We start from the raw sequence: 27787 nt of genomic DNA on the forward strand, positions 1-27787 counted from the left end.
TGTGAGCATTTAGCTAAAAGGAATTCAGCTGACTTCTATGAGGTTAAAAGGTTACTTGAAAAGAGGCTCAGTAAGAAATTTGATTTTAGAATTAGTAGTTTGGCCTCAGACACAGATGAGAGGAGGAGTCTTTCTCAGGTGTGTCTGATTCTTTTTTTTTTTTTTTTTTTTTTTTGAGACAGAGTCTTGTTCTGTCACCCAGGCTGGAGTGCAGTGGCGCAATCTCGGCTCACAGCAACCTCCTCCTCCCGGGTTCAAGCGATCTCTCCTACCTCAGCTTCCTGAGTAGCTGGGAGCACAGGCACGCGCCACCACGCCTGGCTAATTTTTGTATTTTTAATAGAGATGGGGTTTCACCATGTTGGCCAGGCTGGTCTCGAACTACTGACCTCAGGTGATCTGCCCGCCTTGGCCTCTCAAAGTGCTGGTATTACAGGCGTGAACCACCACGCCCGGCCAAGTGTGTCTGATTCTCGTAAGTGCTGATGAGAATTATTAAACTGGGGCCTTTCCTCAGGCCCTGACGTGTTTCCGTTCCGCTGTCGCAGGGAGGACCGCTGAGCATCACCTGCACTTGGAGCGGAGTTGTCCCCCTGGCCGGCCACTGCACACATTTCAGTGACAGCTGCTCCAGGGCGGCTTCACCCCTTCTGCCTTCACTCAGCGAACGTTTACTGAGCTTAGTAGATGCCAGGGTTAGAAAATGTGTTTTTATCCCTTCGTGAAATTTGGACTGTGTATGCAATTTTATATGTCATGCTCTTGCGCATGTAACGTATTGTGACCATTTTCGTCATATTAAATATTGTTTGAAAAATTTTTTCTAGGCAGGTAATATTCATTATATGAGCATACCATCAGCCATTGCCCTATTTTTTTTGGCAAGTTCTTGTCAGTTTTGAAAATATTGGTAATAGTTTGGTGAATATTACTGTAGATAAATTCCTCACAGTGGACTCGGGCACAGGCTGTGGCTCTCAGTCACGTCCTGCACCAGGCAGGCCTCTGCTGGGAGGTGGCTGGGTCCTGGGTGCCAGTGTTGCCTGGTGTGTCACTGAGTGCAGGGGCGTGCAGGTCCACCTGCTCTGCTTCAGGTGCAGCTAAAGATGGTCTGTGCTTTAACAGGCAGCAGTTGAGGTACTGAATTCCCAAATATTTGCCTAAAATAGAGTTCTTTTTTTTTTAATAGGATAAAGAGGTGTTAAAGAAACAGCAGATGAGTAGCTTGCTTCTGGCGTCCACGTTGCAGTCTACACTAGATGCAGGCAGATGTCCCGAGCCTCCTTCGGGCAGCCCTCCTGAGGGTCCAGAAATACAGTTAGAGGTGACACAGAGAGCACTCCTGCGGCGCGAGAGCGAGGTGAGTGCAGAGTGGGGCCATGGGACTGCCAGCCCTGGGTCAGTGTCCAGTGGGCTTCTCTGTGGCAGATCCGATGTCCAGATAACACAGGCGATGGGCTTGTGACCACTGTGTATTCTTTTCTTTTCTTTTTTTTGTTGTTGTTTGAGACAGAGTTTTGCTCTTGTTGCCCAGGCTGGAGTGCAATGGTGCAGTCTCGGCTCACTGCAACCTCCGCCTCCTGGGTTCAAGCGATTCTCCTGCCTCGGCCTCCCGAGTAGCTGGGATTACAGGTGCACCCACCGCCACGCCCGGCTCAGTTTTGGTATTTTTAGTAGAGACAGGGTTTCACCATGTTGGCCAGGCTGGTTTCCAACTCCTGACCTCGGGTGATCTGCCTGCTTGAGCCTCTCAAAGTGCTGGGATTACAGGCGTGAGCCCATGCCCAGCCTGACCACTGTGTATTCTTTGCAGTTTTACCATTTGTGTGCGGGTACAGGTACAGGGTAGTAATTGCTTTAGGCATGTGCATTTAAATATCTCAAAGCTATTTTAATAATGTCTTAATTATTAATATTAATAGAATATTAGATGACTTTTAATACTTTTCTTCTTTTGTTTTAATGAAAGGTTTTGGACTTAAAAGAACAGCTAGAAAAGATGAAAGGTGACTTAGAAAGTAAAAATGAAGAAATACTACATCTGAACTTAAAATTGGACATGCAGAACAGCCAGACTGCTGTCAGCCTCAGAGAACTTGAGGAAGAGAACACGAGCTTGAAGGTAAGCTACCAAAGGTCCACGTGACGCCCGAGTTCATGTTGCTTATGCCGGTGCCGAGCGGCCACCAAGACCCTCATCGGGGAGGCGAGTCTCTGGTCTTCACAGACGCCCGTGGCCCCCATGTGGCAGACAGTGCAGAGAGCGCCCGATTCTGCCTGGGGACATGTGCATGGAAGCAGCTTTCTAGGGATCTTGAGTGAGGAACCAGCGACCCCTGCCCCAAACTGCTTTCTGATTGCAGCACTGATAGGGATCTGAGGAGAGGCACTTCCCTAGGGCAGCACCCCAGGGCTGTGAGAGGCGTGAAGCTATTGGGCTGTTGGTGGCTTGCTCTTCTCAAGGAGGTGACTTGAGTAAGTGGCTACTCACTGTTTCTCTTCCCACTGGCATGATGGGAAAAAAATCTTAAGAACAAATTTTTTTTTAAATTTTTGTGAGTACATAGTAGGTGTATATTAAAAAATCTATTTTTAAATCTTTTATTTTAATGTAGCCGTGCTTTTGAAGCAAAAAAGAAAACCAAAACCAACCTGTTTATAGTAGAGATGATATTCAAAATTGCAGAGCATTCATAACTTCACAGATGCCCTTGAAAGACCTTGTGTAGAATCGTGTGTGTGGTGCCCACACAACACGTGCTCAGTGAATGAACACAGCGTGGGAGAATTAGTGTGTGTGGTGCCCACGCGGCGCGTGCTCGGTGAATGAACACAGCGTGGGAGAATCGTGTGTGTGTGGTGCCCACGCGGCGCATGCTCGGTGAATGAACACAGCGTGGGAGAATTGTGTGTGTGGTGCCCACGCAGCGCGTGCTCGGTGAATGAACACAGCGTGGGAGAATTGTGTGTGTGTGGTGCCCACGCGGCGCGTGCTCGGTGAATGAACACAGCGTGGGAGAATTGTGTGTGTGGTGCCCACGCGGCGCGTGATTGGTGAATGAACACAGCGTGGGAGAATTGTGTGTGTGGTGCCCACGCGGCACGTGCTTGGTGAATGAACACAGCGTGGGAGAATTGTGTGTGTGGTGCCCACGCGGCGTGTGCTCGGTGAATGAACACAGCGTGGGAGAATTGTGTGTGTGTGGTGCCCACGTGGCACATGCTCGGTGAGTGAACACAGCGTGGGAGAATCGTGTGTGTGTGGTGCCCACGTGGCACATGCTCGGTGAATGAACACAGCGTGGGAGAATCGTGTGTGTGTGGTGCCCACGCGGCACGTGCTTGGTGAATGAACACAGCGTGGGAGAATAGTGTGTGTTTGGTGCCCACGCGGCGCGTGCTCGGTGAATGAACACAGCGTGGGAGAATTGTGTGTGTGGTGCCCACGCGGCACGTGCTCGGTGAATCAACTCAGCGTGGGAGAATCGTGTATGTGTGGTGCCCACGCGGCGTGTGCTCGGTGAATGAACACAGCGTGGGAGAATTGTGTGTGTGGTGCCCACGCGGCGCGTGCTCGGTGAATGAACACAGCGTGGGAGAATTGTGTGTGTGGTGCCCACGCGGCGCGTGCTCGGTGAATGAACACAGCGTGGGAGAATTGTGTGTGTGTGGTGCCCACGTGGCGCGTGCTCGGTGAATGAACACAGCGTGGGAGAATTGTGTGTGTGGTGCCCACGCGGCGCGTGCTCGGTGAATGAACATAGCGTGGGAGAATTGTGTGTGTGTGGTGCCCACGTGGCGCGTGCTCGGTGAATGAACACAGCGTGGGAATGCTCCCTGAGTGAACACAGCGTGGGAGAGTCTCAAAAAACAACAACAATAACAACAAAAAAAATTTTCAAATTGATTTTCCATTTTTCCAATTTAAAACTGTAGGCTTATTTAATTAGGACATTTCATATCTGTAGGGTCAGTGGAATATTTCCCTATTAAGGTTCTGTCGGCTCTGTTTTGATATGGTTGTTGTTATTACCATTTCCACCGGCATTTCTGCCCAACAAAGAAGAGGAGATAGTGCGTGTGAACGAGCAGCTCTAGGCACCGCAGGTTTACCTCGGCGAGGTACGCCACTCCCTGGTGCTGGGGGAGAAGGGGCTCTTCTCACGCTTCTGGCTACGCCTGCGTCTCCTGTACGAAGTCCTCATAGTTTCTGGGTGTGATTGACTGGGGCCTTGGCTTTCCAGGATGACAGTCTTCTGTTTCCTCATACAATATTTATAATACTTTTCAAAATTAATTTTATCAGTTGGGCACGGTGGCTCAAACGCCTGTATTCTCAGCACTTTGGGAGACTGAGGAGGGTGGGTTACTTGAGCTCAGGAGTTCGAGACCAGCCTAAACAACATGGGAAAACCCCATCTCTACTAAAAATACAAAAATTAGCCAGGCATGGTGACACACCACTCCGGAGACTGAGGCAGGAGAATCACTTGAACCCAGGAGATGGAGGATGCAGTGAGCTGTGATTGTGCCACTGCACTCCAGCCTGGGCAACAAAGCAAGACCCTGTCTCAAAAACAAAATTAACTTTATGGCCGGGCACAGTGGCTCTCACACCTGTAATCCCAGGAGTTTGGGAACCTGAGGTGGGAGGATCGTTTGAGCCCAGGAATTCGAGATCAGCCTGGACAACGTAATGAGACCCATCTCTACAAATTTTTTTAAAAAATTTAGCCAGGCATACACCTATAGTACCAGCTACTCTGAAGGATGAGATAGGAAGATCACTTGAGCCTGGGAGGCCAAGGCCACAGTGAGCTGTGATCATGCCACTGTAATCCAGCTGTAATGACAGAACAGGACCCTGCCTAAAAAAAAATAATTTTGGAGGGGACCATAGAAGTAAGGAGAAGTTTGTCTCCAGTTTGTCACTTTTAATTTCCCTTTGACAGAGGCTACTGAGATGTTATCTGTCTTAGTATCTGATTGTATCTTGTATATTTGGCAAAAATTTAAAAATAGCCTTTTGGGTTACATTGAAGAATGCCTTTTATGGCCAGGAGCGGTGGCTCACGCCTGTAATCCCAGCACTTTGGGAGGCCCAGGCGGGCAGATCACTTGAGCTCAGGAGTTCGAGACCAGCCTGGCCAACATGGTGAAACCCCGTCTCTACTAAAAACACAAAAGTTAGCTGGGCCTGGTGGCCGGTGCCTCTAATGGTTACTTGGGAGGCTGAGGCAGAAGAATCACTTGAACCCAGAAGGTGGAGGTTGGCAGTGAGCCGAGATTGCGCCACTGCACTGCAGCCTGGGCGACAGAGCAAGACTCGTCTCAAAAAAAAAAGAATGCCTTTAAAAACCATTGATTACTTTTCAGAAGAAGTTGTATTATTTGTCTATAGTGCTCTAGAACTTGACCTCTAACTATAATCTTATATAATGAAAAATATATAAAAAATAGTTTACATGTTAAGGACAGTATTTTTGTTCCATTAAGAATTGAAAGCTTTTTAAGGACAATCCCCAATATTTTCTTGTGGGATTTTTCTTACAGATATGTGCAAATTCGTACATCCTTCATTTTCTGTAATTCTCCTAATTTTTTGTAAAGATGCGGATGCTATTTTGCTTTATATAATAAAGAAAAGTAAAATTCCATTTAAAGGTTTGACTCTTGTTAGGTTTCCAGTTATTTCAAGGAAACCACATTTGCTGTATTCTACCCTATTTTATGTCAGTGAAGATGTTTGTCTTCTAGAAGCGTCTTTTACACTTGTGGGGAAACGGAGCTCCCGTCTCCCTGGCGTGGTCGTGGTTGTTGTCACTTGTTCTGTACTGCCGTCCTCCGGGGCTCCAGCCATCCTAACACCTCATCCTCAATGTGGGCCCTCCCTCCCTGTGTGGCTTATTCTAACTCTGGGGTTAGTGATGTTTCTTTAATTTTACCATTTACTTCTCCCTTATTCTACAGGTTTTAATAAAGAGGTCTCACGTCTTTTGTTAAATTTATCCTTAAATATTTTAGGTTTTTTGCACTATTGTAAGTGAGATTTAAAATAATTATCTAGTTGTTTACCGTGAATACACATACACCTTTTGTATGTTAACCTTGCTGTTACCTTGCACAATTTATGTATATTAGTAGCGTTTTGTGGATTCCTGAAGGCTTTTTATGTATAAGATAACATCATCTTCAGATAAAGACAGTTTTATTTCTTTCCAATTTTTGTTATTTCCTTCTTTTATTACAATGTCTAGCACTCCCAGTACAAAGTTAAAACTGGCTAGGGCAGTCATCTTTGCCCAGCTCCTTGTCTTACAGGGAAGTGGTCAGTGTTTTGCCATTAAGTATATTAGCTTTAGGTTTTTCACAGGTGCCTTTTTATCAGATCAAGGAAGTTCTGTTATATTTCTAGTTTGCTTTTTCTGGATCTATTGAAATAGTGATGATATTTTTCTCTTTTATTCTACTAATAAGGTTAACTTTATTGAGTGATTTATTTCTTGGAGATTAAACTAACCTTGCGGTTCTAGGATAAACCATACCTGGTAGTGATGTACTGCCCTTTTCATATGTTACAGATATTACTGAATTTGATTTGCTAATATTTTGTTAATGGTTTTTGCATCTGTGTTCATGAGGGATGTTGGTGCATAATTGTCTTTTCTTGCAGTGTTCCCTAAGGCTTTGTATGAAGGTTATGTTAGTCTCATAAAATAGATTGGGAATTTTTTCACTTTCTTTTCTGAAAGAGGTTATTTAACATAGCTGGGATTTCTTCTTTGAATGTTTTCATAGCATCAACAATGAAGCCATTTGGAGTTTTATATCTAGAGAGATTGATGGTAATTAATTTTCTTTAACAGACTGAGGTATTTGGATTTCTGTTTCATGTTGTGATAAGTTGTATTTTTCAAGGAACTTGTGCATGTCATCAAAATTGTCAAATTTCTTTGCATAAAGAAGTTTATACTTTCTCTTTTTTTTTTTTTTTTTTTGAGACGGAGTCTTGCTCCGTCACCCAGGCTGGAGTGCAATGGCGCGATCTCGGCTCCCTGCAACCTCCGCCTCCCGGGTTCAAGTGAGTCTCCTGCCTCAGCCTCCCGAGTAGCTGGGACTACAGGCGCCTGCCACCAGGCCCGGCTAATTATTTTTGTATTTTTAGCACAGACGGGGTTTCACCGTGTTAGCCAGGATGGTCTCGATCTCCTGACCTCGTGATCCGCCCGACTCGGCCTCCCAAAGTGCTGGGATTACAGGCGTGAGCCACCGCGCCCAGTCTATACTTTCTCATTTTGTAACTGTTCACCTTATTAACCATTTCCTTACTTGCCATTGAATATCTGCAGGTTTTATGCTGATGGCCCTCCTTTTATTCCTGATATTAGTGAGTTCGTGTTTTCTCTTTTATTCTTGAGTCTGTCTAGCTAGTAGTTTATCCATGTTGTCAGTGTTTTCAAAGAATCAGCTTTTGGCTCTGATACTTTTCTCTCTTTATTTCTTTGATTTCTCCTCTTATTTTCATTATTGGCTTCCTTCTATTTACCTTGGGTTTATTTTCTCTTCTTTTTCTAGCTTTTTCAGATAGAACCTTAGGTCATTGATTATAGATACTTATTTTTCAGTATAACAATTTAAGTTTTTTGTTTTTAGACTTCGTGCATAGTAAAATTAGTTTTTTTTAGTATACAGTTTTATAAATTTTGAAAAAAGGATTTAGTCCTGTAATAATCACCACAATCTCATCACTCAAAAAATTTTCTTTGTGCTGTTTCTTTGTGGCCACCCATCAGGCCTGCTGTCTTCCTGTCTGGAATTCTGTTTCGAGTCAGGTGTTGTAATGCACTGGAAATTGATGCATGCTGTCGCCTGTGTCTGTTCCTTTAGTTGCTGAGTACTGTTGTCTGGATGGACCACAGTTTGTTGATCCATTCACCCATCGAGGGACATTTGGATAGTTTCTAGGTTTTGGCAGTGATGAATCGAGCCACCATAAACTTTCATGCATAGCTTTTTGGGAGAAAATAAATGTTCACTTCTTTCGGTTCAGTACTTAAACTGAATGCATGGCTGATTCATGTGTAAGTATATATTTAACCTTAAAAGAAACTGTCAAACTGTTTTCTATAGTTGCACTACCGTTTTACATTCCACCAGCAATAGATGAGTGTTCCGGGTAACCACGTTCTCATCAACATTTGGTAAGGTCAGTCTTTTTTTCTAGACATTCTGGTAGATATGTAGTGGTATATCCTAGAGTTTTGTATTTCCTTAATGACTAGTGATCTTGAGCATCTTTTTCTATGCTATTTGCCATCCATATTGTGGGGGAAATGTTTGCTTAAGTCTTTCAGAAAGTTTTTTTTTTTTTTTTTTTTTGAGACAGAGTCTCATTCTGTGGCCCAGGCTGCAGTGCAGCGGGAACGTGTCAGCTCACTGCAACCTCCACCTCCTGGGTTCAAGCAATTCTCCTGCCTCAACCTCCTGAGTAGCTGGGATTACAGGCGCCGCCACCACACCCAGCTAATTTTTTAATGTTTTTAGTAGAGACGGGGTTTCATCACGTTGGCCAGGCTGGTCTCGAACTCTTGACCTCTGGTGACCCACCTGCCTCGGCTTCCCAAAGTACTGGGATTACAGGCATGAGCCACCGTGCCCCACCTCAGAAAGTTTTAAAAAGTTGGATTGTTCGGTTTCTTATTGTTTTGGGAATTCTTTATATCTTTTGAACGCTTTTTTTTGATACATGATTTGCAGGTATTTTCTCCCAATGTATGGCTGGTCTTTTCATTCTCTTAACAGTATGTTTTGCAGAGCAAAACTTTTTACTTTTTTTTTTTTTTTTTTGACAGAGTCTCTCTCTGTTGCCCAGGCTAGAGTTCAGTAGCGCATTTTTGGCTTGCTGCAACCTCCGCCTCCCAGGCTCAAGCAGTCCTCCTGTCTCAGCCTCCTGAGTAGCTGGGATTACAGGCACCTGCCACTATGCCCAGCTAATTTTTGTATTTTTAGTAGAGACGGGGTTTCTCCATGTTGGTCAGGCTGGTCTCGAACGCCTAACTCAGAAGATCCGCCTGCCTTGGCCTCCCAAAGTGTTGGGATTACAGGCGTGAGCCACTGTGCCCCGCCAGATTATACTTTTGAAGTTCTGAGAGCTCTTTCCCTAGCCCAATTTTCCTGAGAAATTTCATAGTTTTACTTTGCATTCAGGTCTCCTTGAATATGCTTGCATACGCTTTTTGCTTTTTATTTTTCTTTTTTGACACTATCTTGCTCTGTCGCCCAGGCTGCGGTGCAGTGGCGCAGTCTCGGCTTACCGCAACCTCTGCCTCCAGAGTTTAAGTGATTCTCCCACCTCAGCCTCCTGAGTAGGTGGAACTACAGGTGCCCACGCCCGGCTAATTTTTGTATTTTTACTAGAGACCAGGGTGCACCGTGTCGGCCAGGCTGATCTTGAACTCCTGTGCTCAAGTGATCTGCCTGCCTCAGCCTCCCAAAGTGCTGGGGTTACAGACGTGAGCCACCGCGCCCGGCCTCAGTTCACTGATTTCAGGTTTTGGTGTTTTACATTTAGAGCTACCTTCGTATGCTGGCTCCAGTATTTTAACGTGATATATGCGTTGTGATTATGACCGTCTTCAGTGCGCACCCCTTGATTCCAGTTTATTTAGTGCATTTAGGGAATGAGCAGAAGCTGCGTATAATCAGAATTGTCCTCGAAATTCCTTCGCGTGCCTGTAGAGTACAGAGACAACGGCCGGTGCCGCACACAGTAAGGCACGCGACGGGGAGCAGAATGTGCAGCGGGCATTCCTAGCCCGCAGCTGGGAGGCTGCTTTTGCTAAATGCATGGTGTTGTTCATCGGTGGTAAATGCATAGGAAGGTGTTGTTGACAGCGTCCAAACCAAAGCCACAGGTTCATCCGGTTCCTTTGTTTTTTTTCTGTAGGCCAGATTTGCATTTGAGTCCAGAGTAATTGTGAGGTAGTTCCAGAGAAACCTGGAGTTGTTATGAAACCCTCAGTTTTTTGGAAGAACATATTAGTCTATAACAAATAGTTTTAAAATTGTTAGAGCACAAATGGATTAGAATTTTTCTATTTTTTGTCATTACCAGGAATGTTATCTTAAGAGAATAGAGTTTGGAGCTATATTGACATACATCTCAATCCTAATTTTCCACTTACTGTTTTTATGGGTTTAGAAAGATGTTTAATATCTCAGTTTCAATTTTCCTGTCTTTAAAGTGGAAACAATCGTATTTCCTTACATGGCTGAGGATTATGTTTCATGGCACAAGTAAACTCACTTCGATGCCTGGTGTCACCGAGTGGCAGTGGCAGAGACGCCTCATCACCAGCGTCACCACGAGCAGTGTTGGGATGGAAGGGGAGCGTGCCCGGCTCACCGCTTTGTTGGTGCAGATTCTCTGCCTAGGTTTCTTACTTTCCTCCTGGAGTCAGAATGACACCTAAAATCTAATGCACCTTCAGGAAAATCAAACAAATCAAAGTTGTTTAAATATTAACAAAATAACATTTAAAGGGTGGTGAAAGCATCATTCTGTAGATGTCCTTGCATGGAAAATGACTGCATTAGAGCTTCGTCCCACGATCAGACGTGGAGCACAAGGTGTGCACCAGGGCCCAGTGGCAGCCAAGGTGGGTGTGGAGTGCATCCGGCACCAGCAGTTTGCTTCTATGGCTGCTTTGTTTTTCACGCTATGGAGTCTTCACTCCAAGAATGCATTCAGGATGTAACGTGCCCTGAAGTAGGGACATTCGGAAGTGGATACATTTAATTTGCCTCTGAAATGTCCTCTCTCTTCAGGTCATATATACCAGAAGTTCTGAGATTGAAGAGCTGAAAGCCACTATTGAAAATCTGCAAGAGAATCAGAAACGATTACAAAAGGAGAAAGCAGAGGAAATTGAACAACTCCATGAAGTCATTGAGAAGCTGCAGCACGAGCTGTCCCTCATGGGGCCTGTGGTGCACGAAGTCAGCGACAGTCAGGCTGGCAGTCTGCAGAGCGAGCTGCTCTGCTCCCAGGCCGGGGGCCCTCGTGGGCAGGCCCTACAGGGCGAGCTCGAGGCTGCGCTGGAAGCCAAGGAGGCCCTGAGCCGGCTGCTGGCTGACCAGGAGCGCAGGCACAGCCAGGCCCTGGAGGCCCTGCAGCAGCGCCTCCAGGGCGCAGAGGAGGCTGCGGAGCTACAGCTGGCTGAGCTGGAGCGCAATGTAGCCCTCAGGGAGGCTGAGGTCGAAGACATGGCCTCCCGGATCCAGGAGTTCGAAGCGGCCCTGAAAGCAAAGGAAGCGACGATTGCCGAGAGAAATTTAGAAATCGACGCTCTGAACCAGCGGAAGGCGGCCCACTCTGCCGAGCTGGAGGCCGTCCTGTTGGCCTTGGCCCGCATCCGCCGCGCCCTGGAGCAGCAGCCCCTGGCAGCCGGGGCGGCGCCTCCCGAGCTGCAGTGGCTCCGAGCGCAGTGTGCCCGCCTCAGCCGCCAGCTGCAGGTGCTGCACCAGCGGTTCCTGAGGTGCCAGGTGGAGCTGGACAGGCGGCAGGCCCGCAGAGCCACAGCTCACACACGGGTGCCCGGGGCCCACCCACAGCCTCGCATGGATGGTGGCGCCAAGGCCCAGGTCACCGGCGACGTGGAGGCCTCCCATGATGCTGCTTTGGAGCCGGTTGTCCCTGACCCACAGGTGGGCTCCCCCCGCGGGCCATGGCAGGGTATTTTTTTTTACTCTCCTTTTCTCCTTTGATGTCAATGACTTCTCTCTGCGCTGGGCACTGGGGGCTGCAGTTGTCATGGTGGCTCATGACACAGCGGAGAAAGGGGGCCTGAAGCTCGGGCCAGCCTGGGCCTGTTCCGTGTCAGTACGCAGTGAAGCTGGGCTGAGGATTTCACTGTTTTGTACCATTTTAAGCTTATCGTTTTAAGCTTTTAAAAACAATTCTTTCTTTCACATAATAGGGACTGTCCAGTGAAACGGAGCTCACTATGTGAGGAGGGTCCGCTTAAGCTGCTTCTCTGGTTTCTAACCAAATGGTTTGTCTGTCGATGAGCAGTGCCTGTGTGAGATGTGGCGAGCGAGCTCTTCTTTTGGAGCTGGAGGCCCTGTAGGGAGTCGTCTTTTAAGGCTTCCACTTGTATTTGAGCAGAACCTTGGGAACTTGGTGCCTACCACCCCCACACCAGCTGGGTCTTTGTAGAGTGGCTCCCACTCTCAGATGCCCCAGTCCACCTTGCTCTGTGGGGTCGTCCTGGGTCGGGGCAGCTTTCTGCTGGGTCCTCAGCCCCGTTCCCATGTGGCCTGCTGTGGACCAAGGTGCTCGGCTGTGGATGTCACTGCCACCTCCCTCTGGCATCCCTGCTGGCTGCCGTACTGGTTCCCAGCTCCAGGCCACCTGAGGGGCAGCCCCAGCAACAGCCTCCTGCATGCTCAGCTTTCCTCTGTCTCCTCTGTCAAGGGTGATCTGCAGCCTGTCCTGGTGACGTTGAAGGATGCACCTCTCTGCAAGCAAGAAGGCGTGATGTCAGTGCTCACCGTCTGCCAGAGGCAGCTGCAGTCGGAGCTGCTCTTGGTGAAAAATGAAATGCGCCTGAGTCTGGAGGACGGCGGCAAGGTGTGGGGAGGGGGGAAGGCGCGAGGTCCCCCCGGGAGAGGCTGGACACGCGGCAGCAAGGTGTGGGGAGCGGGGAAGGCACGAGGCCCACCCGGGAGAGGCTGGACACGCGGCAGCAAGGTGTGGGGAGCGGGGAAGGCACGAGGCCCACCCGGGAGAGGCTGGACACGCGGCAGCAAGGTGTGGGGAGCGGGGAAGGCACGAGGCCCACCCGGGAGAGGCTGGACACGCAGCAGCAAGGTGTGGGGAGGGGGAAGGCGTGAGGCCCCCCTGGGAGAGGCTGGACACGCGGCAGCAAGGTGTGGGGAACGGGGAAGGCACGAGGCCCACCCGGGAGAGGCTGGACACGCGGCAGCAAGGTGTGGGGAGGGGGGAAGGCGTGAGGCCCCCCTGGGAGAGGCTGGGTGCAGAACATGTGGGTCTTGCCCTGGGCAGAGGCGGGTATTCTGCTGAGGTGAGGAGCACAGTCCGTGCCTGCAGTGACATGTTCTCTGAATCCTTTCTGTTCTGTAACGAGCTGTCCATAACTGTTGTGAAATTTCGTACGTGCTTCATTTAAGCCACTCTGTAGAAACAATCAGTTGGGTTTTTTTCTTGTAATTGATCCAAATGGATTTAACTGTGCTCGAGGGTTAGTCCTGGTTTGTCTTTTCATGGGAGGACCACATCGCCCCCGTGGGCCTCACCTCAGCTCAGGACTTTGATGGCCAGCGTCTGTTTTACTTTGAAAGGCCTCAGATTTATTCTTGTAATCTGTTCACCTCACTCCATATTGTCACTTGAAAAAAAGCTGGCACTTCTTTTCCCCGGGGAAGGAGGTTGCACCTTGACCATCTCAAATTGTAGCAGGGTGGAGATTTAGCGAGAAAAGCGGGTGCTGGTGCTTCTCCCACCCAGTGCACCAGGGGCAGGTCCCCAGTGCCCCTAGGAAACACCTGCGCAGGAGCTGCCCTCTCCTCAGGCCGCATCAGGTGCAGATGGCACCTTTATTTTTTTTCTCTCTTTTTTTTTTTTTTTGAGACAGAGTCTTGCTCTGTCGCCCAGGCTGGAGTGCAGTGGCACGATCTCAGCTCACTGCAACCTCTGCCTCCCGAGTTCAAGTGATTCTGCAGCCTCAGCCTCCCGAGTAGCTGGGACTGCAGGCATGCGCCACCACACCCAGCTGATTTTTGTATTTTTAGTAGAGACGGGGTTTCACCATGTTGGCCAGGCTGGTCTTGAACTCTTGACCTTAGGTGATCCACCCTCCTCAGCCTCCCGAAGTGCTGGGATTACAGGCGTGAGCCACCACGCCCAGCCTTAGATGGCACCTTTTGATGCACTGTCTGCACCTCGCCTCCTCCAGTCCAAGGCCCAGCGCAGCCTCCCTGGACACACAGCCACCCACCCTTCTCCTCCTTCTCCTCTGGGACACACATCTGTCCACCCTCCTCCTCCTCCTCCTCCTGGACACAGTCGCCCACCCTCCTCCTCCTGGACACACAGCCGCCCACTCTCCTCTTCCTCCTCCTTCTCGACACACAACCACCCACCCTGCTCCTCCTCCTCCTCCTCCTGGACATGCAGCCGCCCACCCTCCTCCTCCTGGACACGCAGCCGCCCACCCTGCTCCTCCTCCTCCTCCTGGACACACAGCCGCCCACTCTCCTCCTCCTGGACATGCAGCCACCCACCCTGCTCCTCCTCCTCCTCCTGGACACACAGCTGCCCACACTCCTCCTCCTGGACACACAGCTGCCCACCCTCCTCCTCCTGGACACGCAGCCGCCCACCCTCCTCCTGGACACACAGCCGCCCACTCTCCTCCTCCTGGACATGCAGCCGCCCACCCTGCTCCTCCTCCTCCTGGACACACAGACACCTACCCTCCTCCTGCTGGACACACAGCCACCCACCCTGCTCTTCCTCCTCCCCCTCCTCCCTGCTGTTTGCTAAATGTGCCCCAACTACTCCTCCAGGCTCTGAAACCCAGAGGCTCTAACACCAGAAGTGCTGGGCAGGTGTTTTATGGTCTCTAGGGTGGCACGGAAGCATGCTTGGTGCTGAAGCCTGCTGAGACCTGGGCTCACCCGAGCCCCTCGCAGCCCTCGTGAGTGTCCCGCACGTCGCTGGGACGTTTCTTGCATGAGTGCAGGTGCCGCCTGTTCCTGGGTCCACACTGCGTGCACCTCATTGGCGTTTAGAGCCTGAAAGATTCTTAATTCCACAGAAATCAGGGAAGGATGGGCCTAGGCCCGCAGTTCTGAGGAGACCCATGAACCTGGTTCGTGTGCTTGTCATGTGCTCTCGGGAAATACATCCTGTGTGGAGAGCCCTTCGCATCTCCTGCGGCAAACAGTCTTGGGGCCCTCATGACAGGAACGTTTCTTTGAATTTTTTTTTTTTTTTTTTTTTTTTTTTTTTGAGACAGAGTCTCGCTCTGTCGCCCAGGCTGGAGTGCAGTGGCGAGATCTTGAGATCTTGGCTCACTGCAACCTCCACCTCCTGGGTTCAAGCAATTCACTGCCTCAGCCTCCCGAGTAGCTAGGATTACAGGCACCCGCCACCATGCCTGGCTAATTTTTGTATTTTTAGTAGAGACAGGGTTTCACCATTTTGGCCAGGGTGGTCTCGAACTCCTGACCTCGTGATCCACCTGTCTCAGCCTCCCAAAATGCTAGGATTACAGGCGTGAGCCACTGCACCCGGCCCAATTTTTTGAATTCTTAAGAGAAAGCTCAGCCCTGCCTGCCAAATTCTTAGAAGTTACACACACAGAAACTCCAAATTCATCACATAAACCACAATTTTGTGTTTTCGGTGCTCAGATATAGAACCTTCCCATCCTTTTTCCCTTGTATGAAGCTTGTGTCCTCAATCACCGCAGAAATAGGTTATGACAGTTGCCTTTTAAGCAAGGAGATGTAAGCCTTGGTTCTGTTTCTCATAGAATTAAATAAACTTGAAATGTGCAGGGCTCATTGTGGAATCACCCGAGTGCTCCGAAACTCCCTGAAATCCACTCATTAACACCAGACAGGTGCGACTCCTGGTGAGCCAGGTATTCCACCGTGCACCTGTTCTGTTTCACCTGCAGGGTAAAGAAAAAGTACTGGAAGATTGTCAGCTGCCGAAGGTCGATCTCGTAGCTCAGGTGAAACAGCTTCAGGAAAAACTGAACCGTTTGCTGTATTCCATGACCTTCCAGAATGTGGATGCTGCCGACACCAAATCTCTGTGGCCCATGGCCTCAGCACACCTGTTGGAGAGCAGCTGGAGTGATGATTCCTGTGACGGAGAAGAGCCTGACATATCACCCCACATAGACACATGTGATGCCAATACAGCCACGGGGGGTGTAACTGATGTTATCAAAAATCAGGCCATAGACGCGTGTGATGCCAATACAACCCCAGGGGGTGTAACTGATGTTATCAAAAATTGGGATTCCTTGATACCAGATGAAATGCCAGATTCTCCCATTCAAGAAAAATCAGAATGTCAGGACATGTCTCTTTCTTCACCGACCAGCGTACTTGGTGGCTCCCGCCACCAGAGCCACACTGCAGAGGCTGGGCCCCGGAAGAGCCCGGTCGGGATGCTGGACCTGTCTTCCTGGAGCTCCCCTGAGGTCCTCAGGAAGGACTGGACCCTGGAGCCCTGGCCCAGCCTCCCCGTGACACCCCACTCAGGAGCCCTGAGCCTGTGCAGTGCCGACACATCCCTGGGGGACAGGGCGGACACCTCGCTGCCACAGACCCAGGGGCCGGGGCTGCTTTGTTCCCCAGGCGTGTCTGCAGCAGCGCTGGCACTGCAGTGGGCCGAGTCTCCGCCGGCTGACGACCACCATGTGCAGAGGACGGCTGTGGTAGGTGCCTGCTCTGCTCCCAGGCCTGCTGTTCCCGTGGGAATGTGGTCTGCCCGGCGCCACGGCAGCTGCCATTGTTTGTTCACCTCCTGACAGCACACACCTCGCAGTGCTGTGTGGGGCCAGCTCTGCAGGACTGGCATCATGGGCGCATTTAGATTATTTCAGTTGTTCAGGTATTTTTAAAATGCCTGAGATGCATTTGCCTGCCTCAGACATACCCTGGGCATGCTTCTCCACTGACGCTGACTCCAACGGGCATAGCCCAGACACGTCTTCGTGTGTGATGGGCATAGGGTTCTTTGTCCAGAATGGTTTTTTAGATTTATTTTTAGGAATGCTTCCTTTTTTTTTTTTTTTTTTTTTTTTTGTGAGATGGAGTCTCGCTCTGTCACCCAGGCTAGAGTGCAGTGACGCAATCTCGGCTCACTGCAGCCTCCGCCTCCCCAGGTTCAAGCAAATCTCCTGCCTCAGCCTCCCTAGTAGCTGGGACTACAGGCACACGCCACCACACCCGGCTAATTTTTGTAGTTTAGTAGAGACGGGGTTTTACCTTATTGGTCAGGCTGGTCTCGAACTCCTGACCTCATGATCCACCCACCTCAGCCTCCCAAAGTGCTGGGCTTACAGGCGTGAGCCACCATGCTCAGCCAGAAATGCTTCATATTTTTAACAGGTTTCACATATGCTAATTAATTTTAATTTATGAGTTAGATCGTATTATTTCTAACATAATCATTTTGGGATTTTGTGTATCTTGAGTAAGATAAAATTAAAAATCAGGTATGGTTGGGCTCATGCTTGTAGTCTCAGCACTTTGGGAGGCTGAGGCGGGAGGATTGCTTGAGCCCAGGAATTTGAGACCAGGCTGGGTAACACGGTGAGACCCTGTCTCTACAAAAAAAACACAAAAAATTAGCTGGGCGTGCTGGTGCCGCCCATGGTCCCTGCTCTTCAGGAGGCTGAGGCAGGAGGATCACTTGACCTTGGGAGGTTGAGGATGCAGTGAGCCAAGATTGAACCACTGCACTCCAGCCTGGGTGACAGAGTGAGACCCTCCCTCAAAAAATAATAATTTAGCAGATACATATTATCTGAAACATCCATATACTATCATTTCATGCAAAACAATTTAAATCTGAAATATTTACTATTGGCTACATTAAAATATTCCTAAAGAGCTGTGGGTGAATCTGATTAAATTGTTGGAAGCATTCGACCTGTGTGTTCACCAGTTTTGAGTTGTTTCATCTGGGGTCTATGTGGGAAGATAAATTCAGGCCTTTGAAAGTTTTCACCTGGCAAAGTCAGCGCTATGATGTAATTACTCATTATTTTATGACCATTTAAAAATCTCTTAACAGGAGAAAGATGTCGAAGATTTTATCACAACATCCTTTGATTCTCAAGAAACATTAAGTTCACCTCCTCCTGGATTAGAAGGAAAAGCTGATAGAAGTGAGAAAAGTGAGTTGGTTATCTTTCATTTTTAATTTTTTATTTCAGTGGTTTCCTAGCACAGAATAGTCAAAAGAATTCCTGCATCCTTTGCCTGGTTCTGCGTCTGCCCCCCGCTGACCTCCACCCCGGCTCTGCGCTTTGTCGGGCGTGCACCTGGGGCCTCTTGACTTCTGAAAACACGCCTGTACCTTTCACAGAGCCAAGGTTGCTGGCCCGGGCCACGCTCCACCCTGGAATGTTCACCCTGATCCAAGGCTGGCATCTCAGCTACAGCTACAGACCTTGCTCAGATTCACCCATTGTCCCAGTAGTGTCCTTTATGGAAAAGACACCCCAGCTCACAGGCTGTGTTCAGGTGTCTTTGGCAGGATGGAGACTGGGGCGGTGCACGCCATGTTTCCAGGCTCTGCTGCCTTGCCTGCCCACCCTGCCTTTCCCTCCCCTTGGGGTGGACGTCCCTCTCTCTGCTGTGGGTTTCGGGGCACCGGCCCTGGAGAGGAGCCGAGGGGCCGCTGACTGTGGCGTGTCCTCGCGATGGTGCGTGGGGGGCTGCGTCTCCCCGGACCTCGTGGCGGGAGGTGCGTGGGCTTGACTTGGGCCTTTGTCTGTGATGGTGCCTGCCAGGTTTCCTCCACCTCCTTCTGTGGGAGATGCGGAGACTGAGTATTCTCTTCCCTCTCATGCTCACGCCCACTGGTCTCAGCCTCCCTTGGTTGCCCTGGCCCGCATCAGTTGTTGTGGCGGTTACCTGCCACACCGTCCTTTTTTTCATTTCATAACTTTTTCTATAATTGTTGTCTTTTTACAAGTCAGTCACCTTTTGAGGTGCTCTAACTTTTTAAAAAATCTGTTGGATTTTTCAGCGATTTAGTGTTTTTTGAGAACATGGTCACAATTTAATTAGAAATTTTAGTATTTGCAGAGTAGGGCCAGCAGCTTTTTAATTTTGTTTTTATTTATTTGATGAATAGTGAGCACGCAGGGTGACAGTTATGGGTGCTGAGGGGACCGTTTCCTGAGCAGCCTGTGTCCCAGCTCCCCACTCAGGACTGCAGCTCCCTGGGGATGCCACATTCAACTCTCAGAAATGTCTTCTCGTATTTGCTTTATTTTCAAACTCTATTTGCTGTTTAAAGTGGCATCTTCAGCCCTCCTAGCCCCTCGCCACACGCCCCTTGCTACACGAGGTGCAGTCTGCACGCCCTGTGCTGTCACAGCCAAGGTTTGCCCTTAAAGGACGCGCCCCGTGTTCCAGCAGAGCCGCTGGGAGCGTGCGTCCCCCTCGAGCCACTTTTGTTTTTCTTGGCTCAGTTTCTCCTGTGTGCTTCACTGCTGTCCTCGCACACAGTGTCCAGGTGAATGTCATCCAAGCCTTCCAAGCACAGCAGGTGCTTCCCCAACAACTCTCAGGGGCTCCCAGGCGGCCCCTTGCCCCTCCTCAACGGTCTCTTATTTACCGAGACAGGGTCTTGCTCTCTCACGCAGGCTGGAGTGCAGTGGCGTAGTCTCGACTCACTGCAGCCTCCACCTCCCGTACTCAAGTCATCCTCCCACCTTAGCCTCCCAAAGTGCTGGGATTACAGGCATGAGCCACTGCGCCTGGCCAGCCCCCTCTTTTTTAAGGAAACATGTCCCCAGAAGCCTCTGTAGAAAAGGTGTCTGGTAGGTGCTTGTTTTTGAGAACTTCCTCGTCTCCCTGGTGGTTGTCGGTTGGTTGGCTGGGTGCAGACACTTGGGTTGGAAGGTATCGCGTGCCTGTCCACTGCCTCTGTGCCCGCGCCCTCCAGTGACGCACAACCTTTGAGGGGCCTGCGCGGTCAGGGTGTCCGCCGCCTCTGTGCCTGCGCCCTCCAGTGACACGCGACCTTGGAGGCCTGCGCGGTCGGGGTGGAGGATTTCCTCCTCGTTCGTCCTTCCTCCATTCACGTATCCTATGATTTTCTCTCTTCTTTTTGTAATTCCTGTTATTCAACTATATCAGGCCTCCAAGATTGATTGTCAAATTTTCTTTCCTTATTTCTACTTCTTTTATTTTTGTTCTCATTTCTAAGAGGTTTTCTTTAGAACTTTATTTTTCAACATTTGTGCTGAGTGTTCTGTTTCTGTGCTCATATTTTAAATTTCTCAGAAATCTTTCTTATCCTAACTGTTCCTCTCTCCTTTAGCTTTAGCTCCTTGGTTTCTTTCTTTTTTGGAGGGCGTTCTTGAGTTTATTTTGGGCACAGCCAGGTGAGAGGTCCCTGCACCTGAAGGAAGGTGTTGGGCTCCGAGGTGAAGCATGGTTTGTGCTGAAGGCACAGGGTCCAGTGGGACAATGGGGAATGTGGTCTTGGACTTGTGGAGCTCTGACCACCCGCTGGCGGCACCTGCTGGCTGTGATCTCCTCTGGATGGAGTGGGCTGGGGCATGGTGCTGGGCACCCATGTCTCGGTGGCACTGGGTGACAGTGTCCGCAGCAGTCACATCCCAGAGTTCCTGGTACACGCTGTGGGAGCCGCAGCTCAGGCAGATGCAACATCCTTCACCCTCAGAGATTTCTCAAACACCTGAAGTAGATGATTTCCCCAAAGATTTCTTCGTTGTCATCTTTAGCTGAGATACACAGGGCAGAAGTAGGACTTGGCACCATTATTAGACACAAAGATTTGCAGGCGGTGGGTGGCCTGAGGCATTTTGAGGGGTACAGGCAGCAACCCAGCACCCTGCACCCTTGCACTGCTCCTGAGGCCTTCATGCTGCTCTCTCGGCACTTGCCGCCACTCACAAAAAGCACTTTGTTGGTTCATTTTGTGAATGACGTGCCCGTTATTTCTCTGAGGGGGTCATCGTCATCCTCTGAGGTTGTACTCTGCCTGCATCGTTGGCCTCTACTCCTCCCCAGTGTGCCCTCTGCTCAGCAGGCTGTGCCGGGGCATCATCCCCCAGGTGCCCAAGTGCTGCAGCCTCCGCTCCCCAGGGAGCTTTGTCCACACGGGGGCCCCGTCTCGCTGGCATCCTCATCCTCCTGTTTTGAAGTCTAACACCCTTTTTCCAGGGCGCCTCCTCCTCGTCTGGGTCTCGTGTCCCTTACACGATCCTGCCTCAGTTTCCAAAGCGCCCCCCTCCCTGTGGGCTGGCGCAGCTGCAGGTCTCTGGGATGGACCAGGGCCCTGGGAGGTTTTGAATTTTCCTCCTTGAGACCCCATGCCCACCTGACACAGGAGCTGCACCGCAGGGACCCCATGGCAGGCACGGTCAGCGTTTCCTGAGCAGTCATTGGATGCCCGTCCGCTGCCTGCCTTATCTCCGTGGCTGGCGTGGAGGGTGCAGGCCCCGCACGTCCCGCTGCTCTTGAGCTTGCCCAGGCCATCTGGGTTTTGTGGAGTCTTTGGGGGCCACGTCTGGAGAAGTGAGCAGAGGTCCCCTAAGATTGGCGCTGGAATCAGGGACTCAGGTGATGTTCTCAACCTGTGAAGTTGCGTTTTCTTACTTGACGTGCGTCTTTCTCACCAGGGTTATGTTTTTATGAAGCATTTTTGGGGCCATCAGTGTTTTCTCCGTGAGCAGAATCACGGTGTGGTTGTCGCTGGGGACTGCGGGCCGATCACCCCTGTCCTGCCTCTGCAGTGCGTCCCCTGGGGAACCCCCTGGAGAGCTGTGGGTGGGACCCTGACCCTGTGGTGTTTTTAGGTGACGGCTCGGGTTTTGGAGCAAGACTGAGCCCGGGGTCAGGAGGCCCTGAGGCTCAAACTGCTGGTCCTGTGACCCCTGCTTCCATCTCTGGAAGGTTTCAGCCGCTGCCGGAAGCCATGAAGGAGAAGGAAGTGCGTCCGAAGCACGTGAAGGTATGGCTGGCAGGGGCGGCCCTCACAGCTTCACATGTGCAGCCTCGGGGCATCCCCCAAGCCCTGTGTCCTGCCTTGCCGGGGAGAGCCTTGGAGGGCCAGCTTTTCCTGGGTGCCTCTGAGCACCTGCATTTTAATGACTCACGGGAGGCAGCCCCACGGTGGCCCCGGAAGCCGCCCACCCAGCCCTGCACTGGCCCCTTAGGTGGCCGCCTCCCATCTGGGCAGGGAGGGTCCTGTGAGCCCGTGGGCAGGTGGTGTTGCCCCGAGTCGCAGAGCCGGCCTGTGCCTCTCTCCCGCCTGTGCCTCCCTCCTGCCTGTGCCCTGTAGAGAAGCCGAGGCACCAGACGCCGCAGTGCTCTAGGACTGAGCCGAGTTCTCTTCAGACGATGGGAGAGAAGCCACTCAGCCTCCTTGGAATCAACCTTGAAGGCAGAATTTTGTGGAACTTTTCATAGGTTTTCTTTCCTCTCCCAGTTTAGCAGATCATTTTATGGCAAAACCATTGACAAAAACTTGGCTAAACAAGTGAGTGATAGAATGATGCCACTACAGGAGCTTAGTCAAGTGGTAAACATATTCCCAAACAAAACAGTCTTCACATCAGTGAAACCTCTTCTGAGACTGCGCAGTAAGTCCTCACTTAGCGTTGCCCCGAGGTTCCTGGAAACTGACCTTGTAGGAAGGACACTCCTGTGCTGCTGGCCGCAGCTCCCGTTGTCTCAGAGGGCCCTGAGGGTGCCTTTGTTACATGCGTTTAAAAGTCGCGGTTTCCAAAACCCATCCATGACGTTAAGTGAGGACTTACTGCATTCAGAATAAAACTTGTTTTACTTTATTTGGCTGGGCACGGTGGCTCATGCCTATGATCCCAGCACTTCGGGAGGCTGAGACAGGAGGATCGTTGGAGCCCAGGAGTTCAAGACCAGCCTGGGCAACATAGTAAGACCCCTCTCTGTCAGAACTGAGTCAGTTAAACCTCTTTTTTTCATTAAAATAAAAAAACTTATTTTACTTTCTTAAACATGGAAATTGGAGATTTTTTTTTTAATCAGTTTTTTATATCTTCTTTGCATTTCCTTTTTTTTTTTTTGGTGAGACAGAGTCTCACTCTGTCACCCAGCAGTGCAGTCACAGCTCACTGCAACCTCTGCCTCCTGGGCTCAAACGATCCTCCCACCTCAGCCTCCCAAGCAGCTTGGATTACAGGCGTGAGCCACCACACCCAGCTAATTTTTGTATTTTCTGTAAAGATGGAGTGTTGCCATGTTACCCAGGCTGGTCTTGAGCTCCTGAGCTCAAGTAATCTGCCCACCTCAGCCTCCCAAGGTGCTGGGATTACAGTGTGAGCCACAGCGCCTGGCCTCAAATTTTTATACAATATAAAACGTCAAGGAGATGTTTCTGTTAGTGTTTCCTATGGAAAACAACCTAATATTAGAATTCCTGATTTTTAAGGAATAAATTTGATTAATGTTAACTCTTCATACTTAGGTTTCATAATTTAAAAAGAAAAGCACAAAAGGCAGGAAAGGCCTCCTGTAGCCCTTGAGGCAGCAGCTGCGAAGCAGAGGAGGAGGGGGAGAGGAGGAGGAAGAGAAGGGGAGGGGGAGGGGAAGAGGGGAGGAGGAGGAAGAGAAGGGAGGGGGATGAGGAGGGGGAGGGGAGGAGGAAGAGAAGGGGGAGTGGGAGGGGAGGAGGGGGAGGGGGAGGGGAGAGGGGAGGAGGAGGAAGAGGAGGAACTGCTGTCCAGGGAGCACCTCCAGCTTTGAAAGGTCCCAAGTCCAGTTGAAAATCACAAGGAGTTTTTTTCATGGATGTCTCAGACTGTTTCAAACTCAGGGTTTTCCTTTATTGTCTTAATTTCTGGCCTGTGTTTTAGAGTGTGGAGCCCTGGGGTTGTGCCCACACTGACGCCGCAGTGGGGAACTGAGTGGAGCTGGGTGCTTGCCCCACTTGGAGGTGGCTCCAGGCGCGTGGGGGACACCCACTGCTCAGATGCAGCCACAGACGCCAAGAGTGTGGTCGACGCTCTAATAGCCCCTGTGGTCCCTATGCTGAGGAGGCTGAGAGGTCCTGAGCACGGGTGGGGCCCCGGCCACTCTTGGCCACCTCTGGCCGTGCCTGGAATTGAGCCATAAGTGGGCAGGGTAGGTGCTGGAGCTCAGGAAATGAGGACTCCCCTGCCTCCGCCGCTGCCACCACCACCACTGCTGACAGGCAGAGCCGCCTGGTCCTGAGTGTGGAGATGGCAGAACCTTCTCAGCCCTAGTGATTGTGTCTGTGGGACCCCCCAGGCTGCCTCACAGGCCATGTTCTAAGGTACCCACTGGTCTCTGCCCCACTTCCCGGCCTCACGGGAACCCACCTGCAAGGGCCCCGTGTCACCTGGCGGGAAGCTGTGGCCCAGGGCCTCTGCATCTCTTCTTTGTAAGAGATGTTTTTTAAAATGCATTTTCTCCTCTATACAGAATCTAGAAAAGCATATTAAAAAGAAGGAAATGGCCTGTCCTCTGCAGCTGGAAGAGAGGGGCCAAGCAGCTTCAGGGCCTGCCCGCCGCCCTGCTCCCCCGGCCCTGCTCCCACTGCGCCCCCCCCAACCCTGCTCCCCCAGCCACGGCCTTGCTCCCCCCGTCTCCGCTCCTCCCCGCACCACCCCGCTCCCCTCAACCCCACCCTGCTCTGCCGCAGACCTCAGTTTGCATCCATCCTGTGCCACATACGTTATGTTTAAAGTAAAAGTGTTTTCAGTTGTTAGAGATGAACATAGTGTGCAATTTGGTTTCACACTTTAGTGTTAATATTTGACCTTTTTTGGCATATCGTTAAAATTACAGGAAAGCCTATTTTCAGTCAGTCACACCCGTCGTAGGCTTCATCATTGCCTCATTTTGCATTTCCCTCTTTTTGGACTTTATTAGATTATTTTTCTCTTCAGGTTTTTATGCAGACGTGTCCTGTGCTTGGGTGTGTGCTCATGTGGTGGTGACCGCGCTGAGCCTCTGGGCTCTGGGCTCTAGGCTGGTCGTGACACCAGCTTCTCCATAGGGCCGTCTGCTTACCCCTCAGCCTCTCTGGCGAGACAGTCAAGTGTGTGTCCGGACACCAGCTGCTGCGTAATCGGTGGGATAAAGCAGCCGCCTCGTGTTCACAGACCTGTGGGCAGGGCCTGCTGGGGATGGTTTTCTCTGCTCCCCGTGCCCAGCACAGGCAGCTTCACCCCACGCTGGTGGTCGGCACTGGCCTCAGCCGGACCACGCACAGAGGCCTCCTGGGTGGCCATCGTGTGGCCTTCTCGTAGCGTCCCAGGTGGGCAGGGAGTGTGTGATATGTTTGTGATCTCGCTGTGGACATTGGCCTAAAGCCCTGCCCTGAGCTTTGTCCAGGCTTAGGCGGGGGACGGTGTCCCCCTCAGGGAGCAGGTGGAGTGGAGGAAGTGGCGGGGCCATCTTTGGAGTGGCTTATAGAGAAATTCACTCCAAGCCTGGCTTCCGTGTTGTCTCTCTGAAGGTCGGGAGAGGTGGGCTTGAAAACCTTGTAGCTTGAGAAGTGGGTGCCGCCTGTACGAAGCCGAGGCGGTGCCCTCCCTCTCCACAGCTGCCCGCCCTTCACAGAGTCCTGGCGGCAGCTCGGGGCCGCAGGTGGTGTAGAGCGTGGCTGTGTGGGGTGGCAGGCAACTCCCTTCTGACGCGCTTTCCCGCCACAGGCTTTACTGCAGATGGTGCGTGACGAGAGCCACCAGATCCTGGCGCTGTCAGAAGGCCTTGCACCCCCAAGCGGCGAGCCACACCCACCCCGGAAGGAAGACGAGATACAGGACATCTCGCTCCATGGGGGAAAGACGCAGGTTTATTTTGCCCTTCACACACTTCTTTTCCAAAGGATTTAAGGAGCTTGTGGTAATGGCCGCGTCCTTAGGGCCACGTGGACACTAGGATTTCTTTCTTTTTTTTTTTTTTTTTTTTTTTTTTTGAGACTCGGCTCACTGCAACCTCCACCACCCCGGGTCAAGCAGTTCTCTGCCTCAGCCTCCCGAGTAGCTGGGATTACAGGTGCATGCCACCATGCCCAGCTAATTTTTGTATTTTTAGTAGAGACGGGCTTTCACCATCTTAGCTAGGCTGGTCTTGAACTCCAGACCTTGTGATCCACCCGCCTCAGCCTCCCAAAGTGCTGGGATTACAGGCATGAGCCACCGTGCCTGGCCTAGGATTTTTTTTAGCACGGCCAAAAAGACTGAGGTCCAAGAACCCTGGGGAGGCCTTCCCATCTCCCACAGCCAGCGCAGGCTCTCGGGGCAGGTTCCCTGCGGGACGTGGAGGTGTGTGGGGGGCAGAAGGGCTCAGGGCTTTCAGGCCTGTGCCCTGTGTGAGCCTGCGGGGAGGCTGAGAGTGGTCCCTCCTGGCCATGTGGCCCTGCGGACTCGGCCCATTCCAGCACTTGTCCCCCAGGGCCTCTCCTCCTGCCACTCGGGTGACTTGCCCTCCGGCCTCATTCCTCCCCTTGGGTCTCTCCTACCTCCCCCTCCACACCCCAAGCCCCAGCAACTGGACCTCAGGGCCTCACCTCTGTGCTGTCGACCCCGCACCCCACTTTTCCCCAAGTCCTCCCCATCTCCCTGCCTGTCTGCTTCCATCACCAGGGCTTGTGGAGGTTGTGGAGTGGGTGCCAACTCCCATCACGCTCCCTCCCATCTCCGTGCCCACCCTGTCCTGCCCCTGTGCCTGCCTCTGACTGGGATCAAAGCTTTGTGAGGGAGGGAAGGGCTTTCTCCCTGTGCCTGGAACGCACAGGGTGTGCTGGTGCCATGGAGAGCCGGTGGGAGGGTCAGCCCCACCCGCCTCCGCTCGCCCCTCCAGCAGGCCCTGGTTGTGTGCGAGCGGCAGCCTGGCTGGCATTCAGGAGGCTCATTGGTGCTGCACGCTGCCCCTGGGGACCAGCGGGTAGCCCCTTGCAGCCTTAGGTCCCCTCCAGGCCCTGGGCCTTGAAGGCACAGCAGCAGGAAAAGAGGGAAGGAGCTTTGCTGACATTTTCCTGACCTTACTTTATCGTCTTTTTCAGTCTCTTCTGTGCTCATGATGGCAGCCTTTGCTTCTCGTGCCTTGAATGGCCCTGGGCAGTGTGTGTCTTCTCTTCTGTCAGGGTCATTTCTGTTTGAACGGCTGTCAGTCTGCTCAGCTGCCGTAACAGAACACCCCAGACCAGGGGGCTTAAACAGCAGACATTGATTTCACCTGTTGTGGCATCAGGGTGCCCACAGGGTTGGATTCTGGTGTAGGCGCCCTTCCTGGTTTGCGGACAGCGTCTCCGTGCTGTGTCCTCATATGATGGAGACAGCGAGTGAGCTCTGGTGTCTCTTCCTCTTCTTAAGAGGCCTCATTTACCCTGAATCACCTCCCGCAGGCCCCATCTCCAAACGCAGTCACACTGCGAACTTTAGGGCACAAGGATGCAGGTGCATTTGTGAGGACGCCACGTTTCTTCCTTCTTCCTTTAGGAAGTGCCCACCGCGTGCCCCGATTGGAGAGGGGACCTTCTGCAGGTTGTGCAAGAGGCCTTTGAAAAAGAGCAGGAGATGCAGGGGGTTGAGCTGCAGCCCCGACTCAGTGGCTCAGATCTGGGGGGTCACAGCTCCCTGCTCGAAAGGCTGGAGAAGATCATCCGTGAGCAGGTGAGTGTCAGCTCTGCCACCAGGCCTCAGTTTGCCCCAGGGGTCCAGCCCTGGCAGAGAGGGTGACACAGACTGTTTTGTGTGTGAATTTCGGTTTGTGTGTTTCTCTCGACCGCTGGAATGTGGCTGTCACTTACCCAGGTGTTGACGCTCAGTCCATGCAGGATGCTGCACTTTTCCACCTGCAGCTGTAACAGGACAGGTGTGCTCGAGATGCACCCTCAGGCCTCACTCTTTTCTGAGATAGGTGGCTAAAGAAACGTTCTCCATTCCAAGTAGCCCCTCCTAGGTTGAGAGGTGCTCTGTGTGCAGGGCTGGGTGGCGTTGGTGCCGTGGGGACACTGGAAATCCTG

The 27787-nt window shown here is 51.4% G+C and overlaps 1 protein-coding gene and 1 pseudogene across 2 annotated transcripts in view, besides 8 other annotated features; one reads left to right on the forward strand and one right to left on the reverse strand.

Moving 5' to 3' along the window:
* Window positions 1-27787, forward strand: part of PCNT (pericentrin) — a 121614-nt gene that overhangs the window by 76206 nt on the left and 17621 nt on the right. For both annotated transcript variants that reach the window (NM_006031.6, NM_001315529.2), the window contains exons 26-34: window positions 1190-1360; window positions 1970-2122; window positions 10828-11706; window positions 12476-12631; window positions 15708-16478; window positions 17843-17945; window positions 21609-21763; window positions 25470-25610; window positions 27261-27434. In NM_006031.6, coding sequence (NP_006022.3) covers window positions 1190-1360; window positions 1970-2122; window positions 10828-11706; window positions 12476-12631; window positions 15708-16478; window positions 17843-17945; window positions 21609-21763; window positions 25470-25610; window positions 27261-27434 — 2703 coding nt within the window. The remainder of the gene's footprint in view (window positions 1-1189; window positions 1361-1969; window positions 2123-10827; window positions 11707-12475; window positions 12632-15707; window positions 16479-17842; window positions 17946-21608; window positions 21764-25469; window positions 25611-27260; window positions 27435-27787) is intronic.
* Window positions 3085-3595: an enhancer, noted in NCBI's record as "H3K27ac-H3K4me1 hESC enhancer chr21:47823360-47823870 (GRCh37/hg19 assembly coordinates)". NCBI's record gives its function as "activates a minimal SCP1, AML or CMV promoter by ChIP-STARR-seq in naive H9 embryonic stem cells {active_cell/tissue: H9 hESC(naive)}" and the evidence as "EXISTENCE:reporter gene assay evidence [ECO:0000049][PMID:30033119]".
* Window positions 3596-4105: an enhancer, noted in NCBI's record as "H3K27ac-H3K4me1 hESC enhancer chr21:47823871-47824380 (GRCh37/hg19 assembly coordinates)". NCBI's record gives its function as "activates a minimal SCP1, AML or CMV promoter by ChIP-STARR-seq in primed H9 embryonic stem cells {active_cell/tissue: H9 hESC(primed)}" and the evidence as "EXISTENCE:reporter gene assay evidence [ECO:0000049][PMID:30033119]".
* Window positions 11246-11821: an enhancer, noted in NCBI's record as "H3K27ac-H3K4me1 hESC enhancer chr21:47831521-47832096 (GRCh37/hg19 assembly coordinates)". NCBI's record gives its function as "activates a minimal SCP1, AML or CMV promoter by ChIP-STARR-seq in naive H9 embryonic stem cells {active_cell/tissue: H9 hESC(naive)}" and the evidence as "EXISTENCE:reporter gene assay evidence [ECO:0000049][PMID:30033119]".
* Window positions 20136-20682, reverse strand: RPL18AP2 (ribosomal protein L18a pseudogene 2; annotated as a pseudogene).
* Window positions 20971-21477: an enhancer, noted in NCBI's record as "H3K27ac-H3K4me1 hESC enhancer chr21:47841246-47841752 (GRCh37/hg19 assembly coordinates)". NCBI's record gives its function as "activates a minimal SCP1, AML or CMV promoter by ChIP-STARR-seq in primed H9 embryonic stem cells {active_cell/tissue: H9 hESC(primed)}" and the evidence as "EXISTENCE:reporter gene assay evidence [ECO:0000049][PMID:30033119]".
* Window positions 21478-21984: an enhancer, noted in NCBI's record as "H3K27ac-H3K4me1 hESC enhancer chr21:47841753-47842259 (GRCh37/hg19 assembly coordinates)". NCBI's record gives its function as "activates a minimal SCP1, AML or CMV promoter by ChIP-STARR-seq in primed H9 embryonic stem cells {active_cell/tissue: H9 hESC(primed)}" and the evidence as "EXISTENCE:reporter gene assay evidence [ECO:0000049][PMID:30033119]".
* Window positions 21985-22490: an enhancer, noted in NCBI's record as "H3K27ac-H3K4me1 hESC enhancer chr21:47842260-47842765 (GRCh37/hg19 assembly coordinates)". NCBI's record gives its function as "activates a minimal SCP1, AML or CMV promoter by ChIP-STARR-seq in primed H9 embryonic stem cells {active_cell/tissue: H9 hESC(primed)}" and the evidence as "EXISTENCE:reporter gene assay evidence [ECO:0000049][PMID:30033119]".
* Window positions 26104-26605: an enhancer, noted in NCBI's record as "H3K27ac hESC enhancer chr21:47846379-47846880 (GRCh37/hg19 assembly coordinates)". NCBI's record gives its function as "activates a minimal SCP1, AML or CMV promoter by ChIP-STARR-seq in naive and primed H9 embryonic stem cells {active_cell/tissue: H9 hESC(naive and primed)}" and the evidence as "EXISTENCE:reporter gene assay evidence [ECO:0000049][PMID:30033119]".
* Window positions 26606-27105: an enhancer, noted in NCBI's record as "H3K27ac hESC enhancer chr21:47846881-47847380 (GRCh37/hg19 assembly coordinates)". NCBI's record gives its function as "activates a minimal SCP1, AML or CMV promoter by ChIP-STARR-seq in primed H9 embryonic stem cells {active_cell/tissue: H9 hESC(primed)}" and the evidence as "EXISTENCE:reporter gene assay evidence [ECO:0000049][PMID:30033119]".

Source organism: Homo sapiens, chromosome 21, assembly GCF_000001405.40.
Source record: "Homo sapiens chromosome 21, GRCh38.p14 Primary Assembly".
Taxonomy (NCBI): Eukaryota; Metazoa; Chordata; class Mammalia; order Primates; family Hominidae; genus Homo; species Homo sapiens.